At 43.4% G+C, this 18,253-nt stretch overlaps 1 long non-coding RNA gene across 1 annotated transcript in view; it reads right to left on the bottom strand.

Moving 5' to 3' along the window:
• The window catches only part of C10orf126 (chromosome 10 open reading frame 126), a 35,491-nt gene that overhangs the window by 14,299 nt on the left and 2,939 nt on the right, over positions 1-18,253 (bottom strand). The window lies entirely within an intron of this gene.

The following is an 18,253-nucleotide window of genomic DNA, read 5'->3' as shown; positions in this document are numbered from 1 at the left end:
CAGGTTCACACCATTCCCCTGCCTCAGTCTCCTGAGTAGCTGGGACTACAGGTGCCCGCCGCCACACCCGGCTAATTTTTTGTATTTTCAGTAGAGACAAGGTTTCACCGTGTTAGCCAGGATGGTCTCGATCTCCTGACCTTGTGATCCACCCACCTTGGCCTCCCAAAGTGCTGGGATTACAAGCATGAGCCACCAAGCCCGGCCCTGGCCAAGAATATTTTTAAAGCTTCAGGTCTCATTCAAGAGCAACCCAGAAGCAAAAGTATCTTATTCAATCACCAAAACACAGTAGGCACTGATCCAGAGGAAGGAGGAGCTGGCTACTCACTCCAGCGGTTCTCAGCTTTAGGCAAGTCAAAAGCTTACATTTCTTAAATCTGCAAAAAAGGAAATATGTCTGCCCTGCAAGTCTTTATAGGGTCCTGTGTTGGTAAAACTAAATATCTGGGATAATAGTCTTTCGAAGATTATTTAAAGTGATACTACATTTATTCTTATTGTACAACCCAGGGCCATATTTAATAACCAATTATTTAAGGAGTGCTACATTAACAATTTATCACAGAAACCTATAAAAAGAAATGTTTAAATTTAGACTGTCTGATATTCGAGGTTACAATTTTCCCCATAATCATTACAAGAACGATTTTTTACTAAACCCATGTCCATGATCATAAGACCGCCAAGAAATACGTTGAACTTGCAAGGTTTAACATCATTCCAGCATATCTTCCTTCTGCCAATATATTATGTCATCATTAGTGGCAACGTTTTAATTCTAAAGATTCTTTTAAAGGAAAGTCCAATTTGGCAAAGTTTTTTCCTGCCCTACTCCCACCAAACTGTTACAAATCTTACTTACTTGTCAAATTTTTGTGTAAACTAAGGTTTTCATTAAATTTTTAAATAATCTTTCAAAAATCACATTATTTTAAGGTGTAGTGAAAATTTCAATGACACTCATTTTTGGATCACTTTTAGCCCAAGTGCCACCTTCTTCCTGTCGGCTTCCATGGCAGTTCCCACTTTCAGATTCTATATCTGTAGCTAACATTACACACCAATTCTGGGTCATAGCACATATTCTTAAAATTAACTGTTTGACTTTGCTGTCTAATCATCAGTTGCTTCTTTGGGAAAACATTGGAGATTAACCACATTAAAGAAATAGCTGACATTTTTAATGGGGAAAATAAAACATGTCCCTAAACATTTCACGGAAACTCAGTATTTGTTAATTCATACCTCCAAAAAATTCTAACATTTAACATTGTTTCACAGTGAAAAGTGGGAATTAGGCAGAATAATGAACCTATTACTTCAACTATGTTCAAAGTGGCCCCATAAACTGGAGCTTTGATTTTACAATGGAGACACTGAATGCTTTTGTGTTTAATCTGTCTTCACTGTGGTTCCACAGGGAGTCCCTATATTTCAAACATGTCTGGCTTAATGAATTTTTTTTTCTTATTATTGCTGCAATCTGTTTTGTTGTCAGATTTACTCCAGCTTGGAGGGCTTTGTTATTCTCTTTTCAGGCATCAGACCCTTTCAGTTTCTGGATATGTTGACTGAGGATGCAAAACAACTGGTCTAAGTGGACCTGCAATGCCACCATGGTAGAAACCAGACGAAACCTTCAAAACAACTCCCGCCTCCTTTTGATCAGTGAAGCAACCGCAGCCTAATATTTTGAAGTGTATTTTTCTTATCTTTAGATCAACTCAAATGCATGCAGTCATGAGAACAGACCTCCCTAGAACCTCTGAGGTCCACAGCAGCCTGGCTCTCATCATTTTATTTGTGTTGAGGTCATCGTTCATCGTTAGGTGCCATGTTTTCATAATTTATAAGGATACTAATCCACTAAGAAATGGTTTCACCAAGGAAGATCTCAAAGATCTGCTCAAAGAGTCTGAAAAATCTCCATGACCCCTCAAGACGATATCGTCTATATCATTTTACCACAAGCAAAGGGCAAACTGATGTCCAGGTAAGATACAGTCACATACGCACAGCTATGTAATTTCTCCATTCCCTGATTTCTATTTAAAAAATCTGCATGCCATACTCTGGAAAATAGGAAAGTGTCGTATGACAACACAATGCCCCTGTCCTCTGATGGGGGTGTCTGCCTTTTGTGTGGCCATCGGGCTTGCTCTGCTAGAGTGTGATGCTGGCCCTACTGAGGACTTGGAATAAGAGTGGTCGAAGTTCAGGGTGGGAGTTAGCCCCTCCCTGCAGGGAGTGGACATCCCAGCATCGGAGAGGAGGAAGGATCTTAGAAGCAAAATGGAACCCTGAAGATGTCCCGAGATAGGAATGAGAGGGGGCATGGTGAGGTGGCTCACACCTGTAATCCCAACACTTTGGGAGGCCCAGGTGGGAGGATCACTTGAGGTCAGGATTTCAAGACCAGCCTGGGCAATATAGTGAGACTCCCATCTCTACAACAAATTTAAAAATAAGCCAGGCATCATGATGCATGCCTGTGGTCCAACTACTTTGAGAGATCAAGGTGGGAGGATTGCTTGAGCCTGGGTGTTTGAGGCTGCAGTAAGCAGTGACGGCACCACTATACTCTGGTCTGGGCAACAGAGTGAGACCCTGTCTTAAAAAAAAAAAAAAGGGAATGAGAAGGAATACCTCTGTCTTTATGGGCTTCTGTCTTTTGCTTCTCTTGAGGCCCTCCCAGGAGGTAGGATCAAACATGCCCACTGTCCTGTGAACACAGGGGTAAAGCCATGTGGGAAGGTGACCAAGAAGAGACAGTAATTGGAAAATGCAGTGATATGATTTTATAAGCCAGATTATTTAACATCATGTTCCTCTTTAGAATTATATCCTTGCAATTGTCCCTTTCCATTTGTTGAACTCAAGTTTAAGTGTTTAGCCTGAACACAATGGTGGCAAAGACTCAATAAGCAAGACTACAAGTCCTGCCATTTTTGCCCACAGGAAGAATCTCCCTTTTTAGAAACCCTGGCATATCTGGGTTTTATATTATTCACAGTGGGGCCAGGCACAGTGGCTCACACCTGTAATCTCAGCACTTTGGGAGGCTAAGGTGGACAGATCACTTGAGGCCAGGAGTTTGAGACCAGTCTGGGCAACATGGCAAAACCCCATCTCTCCCTAAAAATACAAAAATTAGCTGAGCGTGGTGGCACATGCCTGTAGTCCCAGCTGCTTGGGAGACTGAGGCATGAGAATCACTTGAACCTGAGAGGTGGAGGTTGCAGTGAGCCGAGATCACACCATTACACTCCAGCCTGGGCAACAGAGCCAGACTGAATATATATATATATATATATATATATATATATATATATATATCACAGTTTAGTGAATAATGCTCTCACTTTTGATTGGGTAAAGATGGAGAGAAATAGAGGTAAACAGCACACTATTTGGATTCAATTTAACCCCTGTAGATGAGAAAGAGGTATAAATAATATTAATATTACAGCCCAAACCTGCAACTCTCAAGCCTTTGAAGACCCCTTAGCTCTGGACAAACCATGAGAGTTGGTCACTATCCAGGATAGATTCACAAACACAATGAAGTGGCCAAAAGGCCAAGTTCCATCACGAAGGCTGACCACAGCCCCCGAATCAACCTTGGTCTTCTGGAGCGATAGACCCATGATGAACACTCACATCAAGTACTGGAGCACAGAGGGTGGCTGCCTCTGGAGAAGGAGATTCTCCCACATTCTGATAGTTTCAGCCTTGCTGTCTACACAGCATATATAAATTAAAAAACAAAAAGGAAGGAGGAAGGAAGAAAGGAAAGACGGAATGAAGGAAAGACTCATTCTTCATCCCAAATTGCTTTCCTTAGCTTAGGCTCAACCTCCGTTGGTATCACAGGTTGGTCCATTCTCTAACCTTGGCCACTACTGAAGACAAGCTGCCTTGAAAACACAGTCTCATTGCAAGTATATACACCCACACACACACACACATACATATACGCACACATATACACACACAAAACACACATATACATATATGCACACATACACACACACACATACATACATATACACACACATATACATATACGCACACATACACATATACACACGCAAACACATATACATATACGCACACATAAACACATATACACACACACATACAAACACATATACATATATGCACACATATACACATATACACACACACATATATATATGTATGTATGTAAGCCTGGCATGGAGGTTCACATCTATAATCCCAACACTTTGGGAGGCCAAAGTGGGCAGATCACCGACTCCAGGAGTTCGAGACCAGTGTGGGCAACATGGCAAAATCTGGTCTCTACCAAAAATACAAAAAATACAAAAAATTAGCCAAGCATGGTGGCATATACCTGTAGTCCCAGATACCCTGGAAGCTGAGGCAGGAGGATCACTTGAGCTCAGGAGGTGGAGGTTGCAGTGAGCCATGATCTCACCCCCACACTCCAGCCTGGGCGACAGAGTGAGACCCTGTCTCGAAAACTATATATATGTGTATATATATTCCACCTGTCCTCCCTTTCTCTCATTCTTCTCCACCCTAATTAGTAAAATGATTGTGAACAGGGTTCAGTCCGCACGGGAAGAAAACTCAAACCTGATATCATCAGTGTTTCCCTAGTTGCTTTTTGGTTTTGATTCATTCAGACTTAAATTCCAGGTGACCAACTCTCCTGTTTGCCCAGAACTAAGGGGTTTTCCAGAGCTTGAGACTTTCTCTTTTAAACCCAGAATAGTCCCCAGCAAACTGGAACCACTGCTCTCCCTAAGTCAGCTGGGCGAGGCTGGATCCTGGTGCTCCTGAGGCTCTTGACGACTTCTGTACCAAAGCTTATGTGAGTTCATCATTTCAAACGCAATAATCCCACATCACTGCTTCATCAAGTCAGGTTCTTGGTCACAAAAGGCCAAACTAGCAATCTTGTCAGCAGCCCCTTGGTCCCAGCTACCATTTTCAATTATAGCCCAAGGAATAAAGTAAACTCCTTCAAATCAGATTCCAACTTAAATCTACATCTAACCAGACCTGAATGAAACTCCTCAAAAGACAACAATTAAAACTCAGAAACAGACAAACCCTTAGGCTAAGGATTAAAGACAAGAGAAGTAAACATTCCGAGTTATTGCCTGGACTATAGGACCAAAAAGGGACTTTGGACATATTACAGCAGGTGGCTTAAGACTGGACCAGGAACCATCTCCTTTATGCTAAGTCCTTTGGGATTGTCTCCCGTTTTCAATTAAATGTGAAATTATTCCTGTAGATCCTATAGTTTTTGTGTTTTAAAAGTCAACCATTAGAACTCAATGACTGCCTGTGTGGGAGTAGAAAGTCCCTTTGACTGGAAAAAAAATATACGGTTGACCCTTGAATTGCAAGTTTCCACTTATATGTGGATTTTCTTCCACCCCTGCCACACCCGAGACAGCAAAACCAACCTCTCCTCTCTCTCCTCCTCCCCAGCCTACTCAACACAGAGAAAACTAGAATGAAAACCTTTATGACGATCCACTCCCACTTAATGAATAACAAATACATTTTCTCTTATGATTTGCTTAATAACATTTCCTTTTCTCTAGCTTACTTTATTGTAAGAATACAGTACAAAATACATAGAACATACAAAATACATGTTAATCAACGGTTTATCTTATGGATAAGGTTTCCCGTCAATAGTGGACTATGAGTCGTTAAGTTTTTGGGAAGGCAAAAGTTATACACAGAATTTGGAGTATGGAGGAGTATGCATACTGCCCTAACCTTCAAGTTGTTCAAGGGTTAATTGTACCTCAAAACATAAAATGGCTATGCTCTGAACATGGGGTATGACTCTTATTTTCAACCATTGGCTACCCTTGTTAAAACAGAACGGTATCATCTAGTGAGGTGGTCCTAGGAAGGAAATTACAGTTGCCCATGTTTCTCTTAGATATTTAAAGATGTCTCAGTACAAAGCTCTCAGGAAATCCTCAGAATTTTCTTCATCTCAAATTCTCTGACTTGGAAGAGAAGCTGTACGAGTAAAGAAGAGGGGAGAAAGCTATGAATCCCCCACACACTAGTAGGGTTTATTTCATGACGACGCCATCTTGTTTTTGGCTTCCGCCAGCTGGGTGGTGCTCCGGCACTGGAAACTCTAAAGCTTGCCACAGGAGCATGGGAAAATTCTGAACTTCCGAAGAGCACTATATGAGGATCATCTCAGCACGGAGAGAAAACAAAAGGAAGAGATGAGTCTTGGTGAGATCTGCGTGAACTTCATCGTGATTGCAAAAGGGTTGACTAGGGTAGAAAAAAAAGCTGAGTTGGAGAGAGGTTAGAGTTTGCAAGCAGCTTCCCTGCAACACTGCCTGCATTAGGAAGGCTCCATTCAGAAACATCTAATACCCATTATGGAAAAATAGACTTGCATTGTAGAATAAGGGGAAAAGGTCACTGCTTGGTGGTCTTAGCTTTTTATACTTTCCAATTCTTCTGCACCCTCAAAATGATAGCCACATTCAGGGCATGTGGAGTAAATGAATGCTCTTTACCCAGGCTGCCCCCCACAAAGGACGAGGGCATTTGCCCAGAGAGAGGCCTCTGCTGGGGCTGCTGCTCCTGGTGTAGGGGCTAATTAGGACACGCAAGGTCCCCAACACTTCTGTGGTGTGGGTTGGCCCGTGGATGGATTTTCCATTCGATCTTTATTTTTTTCCCCCTTCACATTTTCCACACGGCACTAAAATTACTCTTCAGAAAAGCATTTATCTTCCTGTTACTGCTTCACAGCCTGTCGCCGTTAGAGGATTTTCAGGAAGGACTAGCTGGTACCTGTAAAAATATCCACTGACTTTTATGAGTGGAACATCACCAAAAACTCCTATTTCCTTTCCTCCCCGTTCCCTCCCAACCCATCCTTTCCCTGCTACCCACTCAACTCATAAACTCAGTAAAAAGATTTCACCATTTCTCATCCTTTTTCTCACTTTTTTCTTCAATCTTTTTTTGTTGTTTTCGGAAAATTTATTTTGAGAAGAAGCTTCATTTCCAGTACCTGCAGCTGACTTCCAGAAACATATGAGAAAATGCACAATGAGATATCCGAGTGTGTCTCGTTTTATTAATATCAAAGTGTGATGTGTGTTTGCATTGCTCAACAGGGATTTTTGTTTGTTTTCATTTGTTTTAATCGTGTGTGTGTGTGTGCACGTTTGTGTGTGTGTGTAAGAACTATTTCCTCCAGGTTTTTTTTTTACTTTTTTATCATAAAAAAGCTAACTATTTTTATAATTCATGCTGGAAGATTTGGAAATACCAAAATAGGGAAGAAAAAAAAAACTTCCACCAAGCTAAAAGCCAGGAATGCTAATATTAATAATTTAGCATATTTTTCCATTCTATTTCCTGAAGTTATTGTTTTTATGCGATGGTTTAGATTTACGGGGAGGTTCATCAACTCAATTCAAGTGTTCCTTCCCTGAGAAGCCTTTCCTTGGCTTCCCCTCGTGTTCACCCCATCAAAATGAATTGTAAATATTCTCTGTGTACACATTTGTGTCACTTACTTGACTGACAGCTCCTGTTTGATGGAAGCTTTCTTTAGTTCATCTTAGTTACTCTAGGATCTAACACGTGGCAATAAATTCAACAATCAAAACAAATATTAATTTGCACAGTCTCTGCACTGGGGCAGTTACCAGAGACTGAGCATTAATCAGTGAAACAGACAGATATGAGGGCCAGCCACGGGTTGTGGAAAGAGGAGGAGCAGAGACATGGTGAGAGAAGGAGGGCTTATAGAAAGGCAGGGGCCAAACCAAGTAGGACCATATGAGCTGGGCAATGGGGAGCCACTGGAAGATTTATACAGGCATCACACTTTCCCTGGATGCTGCGTAGGAAGAAATTGAAGCCTTCCACAAGTGGAACCAGGTAAACCACTTAAGAAGCTTACGGTGAGCTGGGCACGGTGGCTGACACCTGTAATCTCAGCATTTTGGGTGGCCGAGGCAGGAAGATCACTTAAGGACAGTAGTTTGAGACCAGCCTGGGCAACATAGCAAGACCTTGTCTCTACAAAAAAAAAAAATTAAAGATTAACTGACCATAGTAGTTAACTGGCCTGTAGTCCTAGCTGCCTGGGAGGCTGAGGTGGGAGGATTGCTTGAGCCCAGGAGGTGGAGGCTACGGTGAGCTATGATTGTACCACTGCACTCCAGCCTGGACAACAGAGCAAAACCATGCCCCCACCCCCCACCCCCGCCCCCCACCCCCCCCAAAAAAAAGAAGAAGAAGAAGGAGAAGAAAAAACTGGTGGTGGCTTGGACTATAGTGAAAGAAGAGGTAATAGGTGGACGGATTCAAGATGTGTTGTTTTAGAGGTAGAATAGTCCAGAATTTCTGACAAATCGGCTATGAAGGTAAGTATAGGGAAAAGACACGTAGGCCATCCAGGTTTCTGAATGGAGCCACAGGTGGATGAAGGTGTGATTTATTGAGACAGGGAAGACAGGAGATAAATAGATTGAAGTGGCAGGAATTAAGAGTTCATTCTGGGACATACTAACTTTGGGATGCTTGTGAAATTGCTACATGGGAGTAGAGAGTGGGCAGTTGGATACACAAGTCTGAAGTTCAGAGGAACAGTGGTCTAAGCTGAGGCTATAAATTCAGGAATCACCAGCAAATAAATGCTATTTAAAGCCATGGGTCAAGTTGGGACCACCCACAGAGAGTGTGGCAAGAGCAGTGGAGGGCTCAGGAACACAGTCATACAGCTGTGTTAGGAGGGGAGGAAGAGCCAGCGAGGGAACTGGGAAAGACAAAGAAACCCAGGGGAGGTGGTGACTGCCCTTGAGCAAGGAGCAAGATGAAGGCAGAAAGCTGAGGCTGGGCACAGTGGCTCATGCCTGTAATCCCAGCACTTTGGAAGGCCAAGACGGGCAGATGACTTGAGGTCAGGGGTTCGAGACCAGCCTGGCCAAAATGGCAAACCCCAACTTTACTAAAAATACAAAAATTAGCAGGCATGGTGGTACACGCCTGTAATCCCAGCTACTTGGCAGGCTGAGGCAGGAGGATCATTGAACCCGGAAGGTGCAGCTTGCAGTGAGCCAAGATAGCACCACTGCACTCCAGCCTCAGCAACAGAGTGAAACTTTGTCTCAAAAAAAAAAAAAAAAAAGAAAGAAAGAAAGAAAAGAAGAAAGCTGAGCCCTGAGTGTGGCAAGGAGGAGGTCACTGCTCACCTGGAGCAGGAGTCACCATCAAGCAGCAGAAGTGGGAGCCCGACTGGCATGGAGAAGAGGTGAGGTGGTGAGATGGCATGCCCAGCTGACTCTTCCATGAATTTTAGGCATAAAAAGCAGACAAATGGAATGATAGCTGGACATCCTCTAAAGGATCAAGGAAAAACATTCAGAATGTTTGCATGCTGATGGGAATAATCCAGGAGAAAGGGGAAGCTTGATGAGGTTAGAGATAGAGGTGATAATAAAAGGAGGAAGTCCCTGAGATGGTGCAGGGATTGTGTGCAAGGCATGAGCATAGGAATTGGCCTTGGACAGGGGAGGGATGCATTACAATTGTACCTGGAGGGAAGAAAGGGGAACAGTGGAGGGAGATGATTATAGATTTAGTAGGAGATGGGCCGGGCACGGTGGCTCACACCTGTAATCCCATCACTTTGGGAGGCCGAGGTAGGTGAATCACTTGAGATCAGGAGTTCGAGACCAGCCTGGCCAAAACAGCGAAACCCTGTCCCTACTAAAAATAGAAAAATTAGATGGGTGTGGTGGCGGGCGTCTGTAGTCCCAGCTACTTGGGAGGCTGAGGCACGAGAATTGAGAATCACTTGAACCTGACAGGTGGAGGTTGCAGTCAGCCGAGATCGTGCCACTGTACTCCAGCCTAGGTGACAGAGCAAGACTCCATCTCAAAGAGAAAAAAAAGACACATGGTTGATGTCTAGTGGGGGTATGTGATAATTCTTTTCCATATCCTCTTCCCCCTTCTTGTCCAAGCTTCAAGTCAGCAGTTTTGATGAGAAGATTTAGTGGGAGTCTGACAGAGTTCTTCTTCAAAGAAGTGTGATGTGAGGCCACCAAGTGAGATCAAGGAGGGAAGGTGGGTGAGCATGCCCACTGAGCACACAGGAGCAACCTAGTCCAGCCTAGGGGAGGCTGGAAAACTGAGTTCCGTAGAGAAGGAGGAGGAATGGGGAAATACTGGAAGATGCTAAGCAGGGAAGTGACAGGATCTGACTAGAGGCAGAGAAGATGCGGGGTGGGCATGGACAGTAGGTTGCTGGGGGAAAGAGACTGGAACAAAAGAGACCAAGTGGGAGGCTGAGAGTTTAATGGACATGGGAGGTGAGGCAGGCCTGGAATAAAGGTGTGGTGATGGAGAGAAGTGGGCAGATTTAAGAAATACTTAGAAGAAGGGGCCAAAAAGATGAACTTGAATCAAAAACACATTTATTTATAATTTTCTTAAACAAACATGACTTCATTTTGAACTGCTGGGTAGCTATGTTATCAAATATATTAACCTGAGGGTCCTTTGGTAAGTCTGATGGTACTCCCAGGCACTGGTTTGTAAATGCCCTGGTTGAGACGTCTCTCTGTTTCCCCCAGCTTCTCAGCACAGTCTAGGCACACAACCTTGGGTAAGTGATTTTTTTTTCCAGCCAAGTGAAGCTACCCAGGGGTAGGACTGCAGCTTGCTCTGGCCTTCCTCTGCAGCAGGGAGCTGGCCAGTAGCACTCACAGTGCCTGGTGACCGTGCAACTGGGTCACACATCATAGTAAAACCTCAGTGATACCTTGCACTAGTGTGTAAGGCTATGTGTCACAACATGCTGTCATCTGTATCATTTGATCCTTTCCAACCCTGAGAGGTGAGCAGAACAGAATTAATCATCTCAGTGTTACAGATCACAACACTGGTAGCCCAGAGAGGCTAAGTGAATCCCCTAAGGTCCCAAAGCCAAGAAAAAAGGAAAGGGTCAAAACATCTTGCCCCATATATCACAAGGAGCAAGTTTCTTCCTTTATTATTTTTATGTTTTTGAGAGAAGGTCTTGCTCTGCTGCCCAGCTTAGAGTGCAGTGGCACAAACACTGCTCACTGCAGCCTCAACCTCCTGGGCTCAAACCATCCTCCTGCCTCAGCCTCCCATGTAGCTGGGACTACAGGCATGCGCCATCGTATCTGGCTAATTGTTTTATTTTTTGTAAAGACAGGGGTCTCATTTTTCTCATTTTGTTGCGCAGACTGGTCTCGAATTCCTGGACTCAAGTGATCCTCCCGCCTCAGCCTCCCAAAGTGCTGGAATTACAGGCATAAACCACTGCACCAGGCCATTCTTCATTCTAGAGCCATACCCTTTAATGTCTTCCTTTAGGGTGACAAGAAGTGACTGTGTGGACTCTCAGAACATGTGTTCCTAATTAAGAACTCTTGAACTCTACCACTGGAAAGGCCTCAAAACATCAGTGCAGTGGCTTCTGGTTGCACCCACATCATCAGAAAGCATTTATTCAGGATCTTCTTAGGCCCTTTCGCTATCGTCCAACAGAAAGAATTAATTTTCAAGGGATAAATTGATTATTTTCCCCAACTTGCCCAACCTAGTGGGCAAGTCAGGGAATGATTCTGTAATTTGCATCTATGGCCTACAATTCCAGCATCATTTAAGCAAATAGGTCACCCAAGAAGAAATCACAAGCCCTGCCTCCCGCCTTCCCTCTAAGGTTTGGCTCATGGGCTCACTCAACTCCAGGCCTCAAAAGATCTTTTCTTTCACCTTGATTCTCTTCTGCTTGTATTAGAAAGTAATAGTTTTGGGCCTCTCTTTCTCCTCCTATTTTCTTGTTTCTTCTTCCCACTTCTCAATCTAGTGTTGGTGAGGAAAATTTAGAAGGATTCAGAATTGAGAAGATAGCGATTCAAAGAGGTGAGTGGGCCAGGTGCGGTGGCTGACACCTGTCATCTCAGCACACTTTGGGAGGCTGAGTTGGAAGGATCATTTGAGGCCAAGAGTTGCAGACCTGCCTGGCCAACGTAGTGAAACCTCATCTCTAGCAAAAATTTAAAAATTAGCCTGGCATGGTAGTGCGTGTCTGTGGTCCCAGCTAGTCAGGAGGCTGAGGTGGGAGGATCACCTGAGCCTAGGAGTTCAAGGCTGCAGTGAGCTATGATTGCACCACTGCACTCCAGCTCAGGTGATAGAGCAAGACCCTGTCTTAAAAAAAGAGATGAAGAAGCAAAGGAGGGCCATAAGCTGGAGGAGGGTCTAGAATAAGGGGCCAGAGTAAGACAAGGAGCACAGAGAGGGGGCAAGCATGAAACACACTCAGCATTTACAGCCCATGAGAAAAGAATGCCACACAGGGGTTTTTTAAATTAAAAGTATCCTAAAATATATTAGAGAAAATTGTTTTTTTAAAAAAAAGTTATTTTTTTAAGGGGAATGGCTTACGAAGACCAAAATCACCACCATAGCAGTTCAAGGATAGAGAATTTATTCTAGAGAATCACAGAGGTGCAATGCCAGGTAGAAGGATAAGGAGGAAGGAGACGGGGAACCCAAGCCCAGGACCACATGTTGGAGAGCACACGGCAAGCCAGCCTGGAGGGCCAGGGCGGAAGGGAGGCCAGGGCCCATGACCAAGACCAGAGCAGAGCAACCCAGAACGGGGTGAGGCAGAGACAAGACCAGGAACTGGTGAAGCGTGTGGGAGTGGAGCGGGGGCCCTGAAAACCACTTCAGTCTTACAGGTACAGGATCCTGGCACCAACCTTCACTGACTTTGCCCCATTGCCTAAACTGGGTTAAATGCCACCCTGTTACATATGCATGCAGCAATGAGTGCTTTGTATAATTTCTACCAAAAAATTTATTTTAAGCCATAAACCATGGAAAAAGACACTACACACACACATACACACCCACACACCATTGCTTACCAAACATTGAGAAAAAATAAAAGTAATGTCCTTAATATTCCATTTAACTTTCCAGCCCTTCCATTTATTCTCAGTTTATGTTCTGTCTGCATATTTGGAGTTTAAATGTCCCTTTTCTTTCTGAAGTGGTAGTGATAGTTTGTTTTCCCACCTGCTCATCTCTCATTGAACTTCTCATCGTTCAAGTCACTTTAGATGTATCTCTGTTCACTCTATTTAAGTACATTTCCCCCACACCTATCCCATTGTTTTGTTATTGCACCCTGTGGGTTTGCTTTATCAGACTCAAGGAAACTTTCCGATGGCCATGGTTGCTCACGCCTGCGATTCCAATATTTTGGGAGGCAGAAGCAGGAGGACTGCTTGAGACCATGAATTTGAGACCAGCCTGGGCAACATAGCGAGATCCCTCTTCCTAAAACTTTTTTTATATTAGCTGGGTGTGGCAGTACATGCCTATAGTCCCAACTACTGGGGAAGTTGAGGTAGGAAAATCACTTGAGCCCAGGAGTTTGAGGCTGCAGTGAGCTTTGATCACCCCACTGCACTCCAGCCTGGGTGCAGAGCAAGACCCCATCTCAAAAAGGTGAGAGAGAAATTGTTCAGCTTCACAGAACACAAGACTGTTGCTCAAAGTGACATAAAGCATCAGGAATGTGTACTAGATCATAGAGCACACTGTCCCCTTTCAGGGCACCTCCAAAATTGATTCATTCAAAGGCACAGTGGCCTCAAGGACACACTCCCCTTCCATTTTTTGACTCTGCTAGCCACAACATGTTGGTCTCTCTCATCTGGATCCCTTCATTGTTCAAAATGGCTGCCTCCAAGGTCCCAGGGTCACCTGCTGACACAATGACCTCCAGTACAAGAGAGACTGTGTCTTCCTCCTCTGTGAGTCTTTTCAAGAACCATTCCTCGAAGCCCCCTATATCAGTCAAGGTTTGAGCAGGGAAGAGCTTGCACTCTTAGAGAATTTAATAGAAGTGAATTTAATGGAGGGGCTGTTTAAAGACTGCAAGCGAGCAAAGTTAAGAGAACCAAGGAGAAAAGGTGAAGTGCCAAGGATTATAGCAGGAAGTCCACCCTGCTTCTGGTCCTGAAGGAGAAAGGAGAAAGGAAGTTTCCACCCTTCATAAAGAGAGCTGTAGCTGAGGAAGAAAGCTTGCCCGACACGGGAGCTGTGCCTTAGAGGAATGTGGCTACTGTCTGGATCGCAGCCAGAAGGAAGGGAGTCTGAGGTCGAATTATGAATACTCTGCCCTCCTAGCAATGCCTCCATTAGCCAAATCCAGTGGAATGCCAGAGGACAAGGAAGACTTCACAGTGCAATCTTTAGAGGTCAACCTCCTGGGGCACAGAGAAAAGCAGAAAAAGACAGATGAGTTCTGGATGGAGCGGGACAAATGGAAACAGACCAGCATAAACCCCTAACAGATCTTCCCATGTACATAGTAGTCCAGAAAAGGATCTCATGCCTCCCCTTAAGCCAATCACTGTCAAGGATATTGACTTAGAGGCTTCGACTTGTCAAGATTTAACTTTAACTCATATGGGAAAGGGATAAACTCCCACATGAAATTAAAGTTTTGCCAAAAAGGGAGGAGAGAGGAATATCTGCTACAGTAAATATTTCTGGGAAAAAAAAATCTGTTTGACAATCTCTTTTAAAAAACTATTTTTACCTGAGAAAATAAAAATATTAAAAACTTTAAGCAAGGCTTCAAAAATATCTTTTGGAAATTTACTAGTCAATGAAATCTAAAAAGCTTTGGAATAGCTTCTACACACGTATAAAAACAAAAGACTATTTAGTCTCATTAGGATTTAGGGGTAGATGGTGGGCAGGCAGATCGCCAGTTAAAACAATTCTCTGGGGGACACTCTCCAGTGCTCTGTCTACTAGAGTTTTAAGTGGCTCACAGAGGTGATCCTGGGGAAGACCAACACATTTCCTCTCCTGTTCTGAAGCAGATCACAACGCACATATCACATTTAATCCTTACCCAATGCAACAATTATTACAAGAGACACAAAGGCAAAGGTAAACCGTTTATTACTTAGACTAAAAGTCACTCCCATTGTGACCTCTTTATTGAAAGAAGAACAAGCTAGGAAATGAAATGTGTGAATTGCAGACATACATCCCTGAACTGTCTCATGATAAGGAGTTGATCATTTTGTTTAATTGCAGTTGGCAAAACATTTAAAACGTTTGTCTTCTGTTCCTGAAATGCAGATGTTAGAACTATGAGGAATATACTGTGATCTCGATTTCCTTTATCTCTGTTAAACTTCCAGTTGCCTTCCAGACAATTCTGGTGTGAAGAACTAAAGTATTAAATGAAACAAAAGCTAAGAATTAAAATCAAGAAATAAACATTTATCAAATGTCAACAGTACCAAGACCTAGAAACAAAAAGGCAACAAAGATGTCAGATGTCTGGCTCAATGGATGATAAGCAAACAGGTACACATAAATAGCTTGATGTCAATTACATTTTGAGAGATTTCCTTCTGTGTGTTCTCATAGGTATGTTCTAACTCAAGGGGAAACCAGCTAATACCAGGAAAAGTATTAGCACGTCTTTGGCTCAGCATTTTTGTTACTTATAGCATAGTTATTTGTTAACTCCAGTAAAATCCTTAGCTCTGACAGCAAACAACTATATAAAAATCACAGGTGGGGCGCGGTGGCTCACACCTATAATCCCAGCACTTTGGGAGGCCAAGGTAGACGGATCACGAGGTCAAGAGATCAAGACCATCCGGGCTAACAGTGAAACCCCGTCTCTACTAAAAATACAAAAAATTAGCCAGGTGTGGTGTCGTGCACCTGTAGTCCCAGCTACTCAGGAAGCTGACGCAGGAGAATCGTTTGAACCCGGGAAGCGGAGGTTGCAGTGAACCAAGATCGCACCACTGCACTCCAGCCTGGAGGACAGAAAGAGACTCCATCCCAAAAAATAATAATAATAATAAAACAATTACAAAGTAGCCAAATTAGTCCCTCAATCCTCAAATTTCAGATGGTGATTTTGAATATTCTCCTTTATTCTTTTTTTTTTTTGAGACGAGGTTTCACTGTCACCCAGGCTGGGGTGCAGCGATGCAATCAGGGCTCACTGAAGCCTCCACCTCCTGGGCTCAGGTGATCCTCCCACTTCAGCCTCCTGAGTAGCTGGGACCACAGGCATGCACCACCATGCCAGGCTAATTTTCAGTATTTTTTGTAGAGACAGGGTTTCGCCATGTTGCCCAGGCTGGTCTCAAACTCCTGGGCTCAAGGGATCCTCCCACCTCAGCCTCCCAAAATGCCAAGATTACAGGCATGTTCGGCCTCTCCTTCAGTCTCACACATTTGTGATTGTAATGAAGGCGGAGTAGTTTGACCACAGTTCTATAAGAGAGAAGAAATTGGCAAATATGCCCGTTTGTATCTTTCAAGCACAGGCATTCTGCCAGTCACCATTTATCTTTACATTTGTACAAACAAGCTCATGGCTAAGGAAGCATTAAGATAATGACGAAGAAGAAGAAATCATTTGGAGGCAGTTAGAATAGACCTTTAGAAGGAAATGGTTAAGAAGGAATCTCAAGATTGAAGGAGATATTGATAAAATGAGAATGACTGGAAAACGGTCTAGTCAGCATCCGAAGAAGAAAAATGGGCCGCGTGTATTGAAGGTGTTGGCTTTGATGGAATTTAAGTTCTGAGAAGACTGGTTATTAAAGGGAGGAGATTTGTGGATAAAGATGCAACAAATCTCAAAGTCCATGGGCTTCGAGCTTTAAAAGAGAAAAAAGGAAAAGACTGGATGATGGAAAACCAAATAAAGAATCTTAGGTAAAAGATTATGTTCTTTGTATAAAAGCTATTTTGAGGAACTGGTTTTATTTACTAAGTGCCTGGATGAAGAAACGGAAAGACCTTCCCACTCCCACCCTTGTCTCAGCCATTGTGAGAAGCCGTGTGACCTCTTCCTAAGTCCAAGGAATTGAGCTGTTGTCAAGGATCTCAAATATTTTTTTTTAAGTGGCAGCCAAGATGTTGTTGTTGTCTAAACCTAGTAAACATATATGATTGCGGTGCCACAAATAGCACTAGGTAATAAGAAAGGCAAGAGAGTGTTGAAACAGAAGGCGAAGAATGTATCCACCACTGTCCTTAATTTTGGGTGACTATCAAATATTCAAGAGGAAGTGGCTCAGCCATAGAAGGTGCTTAATCTAAATGTGAGACCAGTTTGGTTTTGTTGCCCAGAATGTAGTTGCTTCCGAAATACAAAAAGCAAATTCCATAACAAGCAAGAAACGTCTGTGTGCAATTCACAGAACCCCAGCCTAACTCTGGTTGAAGGAGGTAGGGTAGATGCTTACATTTAAAACAAAAATTTTGCATCTGTAATTAACTTAGATTTATCTTCAATGTAGTTTTCCTACTTAACTTCCAGAATATTTTAACTGTAAGAGCCCCTGCATTAAAATACTGTAATGAGAAAATCTGGTACTACTTTGTGAATCAACTTTTTAAATGTGCATAAACATTTCCATGTGTTAGCAAGCCTCTGCAAAGCCATTGACCGCACCCGACTGCCTTATCTGTGGCTAAACAGACTACAACCCAGCAGACCAGAGCATCATGTCAGTTGCATCCTAAGGAAAGCAGACAATGAGGTTGATTTAGAAGTGCAAGAGATTTGGGGTGGGGGGTAATATTTGTAAAAAGCGTAAGAGGAAATATCAAGATTGCCCAAGCATGGAAAGCCTTCAGATCACGATGCAGATTTGACACTTACAAAAGGAAAAAGGGTAGAAAACAAGATAGACAAGAGAGAGCCTCAGATTTTGGTGGGTCAGACACGGATTTGACCAACATGATGGGAAGCTCTGGAGCAAAGAGGATTCCTGTGTTGGACAGACACGGCCTTGGTACCACCATGGTGCCGGTATTGGCTGGGAGCTGCCCAGAAAAAGTGTGGTCTTGGTTGAAAAGCTGAAGCAGATCCTCCAGGTGCTGCAGCTGGAAGCTGTCGGCTGGCTACACTCCTTGAAGCTGCCAGGTAAGTCCTTTCTCCAGTGAAGATCTGAATCATTGCACACCTCAATGCCTACCTCCATCCATCCCTGCAGGGCATCCAGTAATCTTCAAAACATCTGGGAGTTTTTCCCCAGAGTAGAGTCACTTGAATAAATGTCTTTTGGGGAAGGACAAAAGGAATTATACCCATAGACTTGGTGTGGTGTTGCTGGGTCCTTCATCCTGGGAACATGGC

The sequence above is a fragment of the Homo sapiens genome, chromosome 10, assembly GCF_000001405.40.
Source record: "Homo sapiens chromosome 10, GRCh38.p14 Primary Assembly".
Taxonomy (NCBI): domain Eukaryota; kingdom Metazoa; phylum Chordata; class Mammalia; order Primates; family Hominidae; genus Homo; species Homo sapiens.
This window is presented reverse-complemented; position numbering and strand designations above follow the sequence as displayed.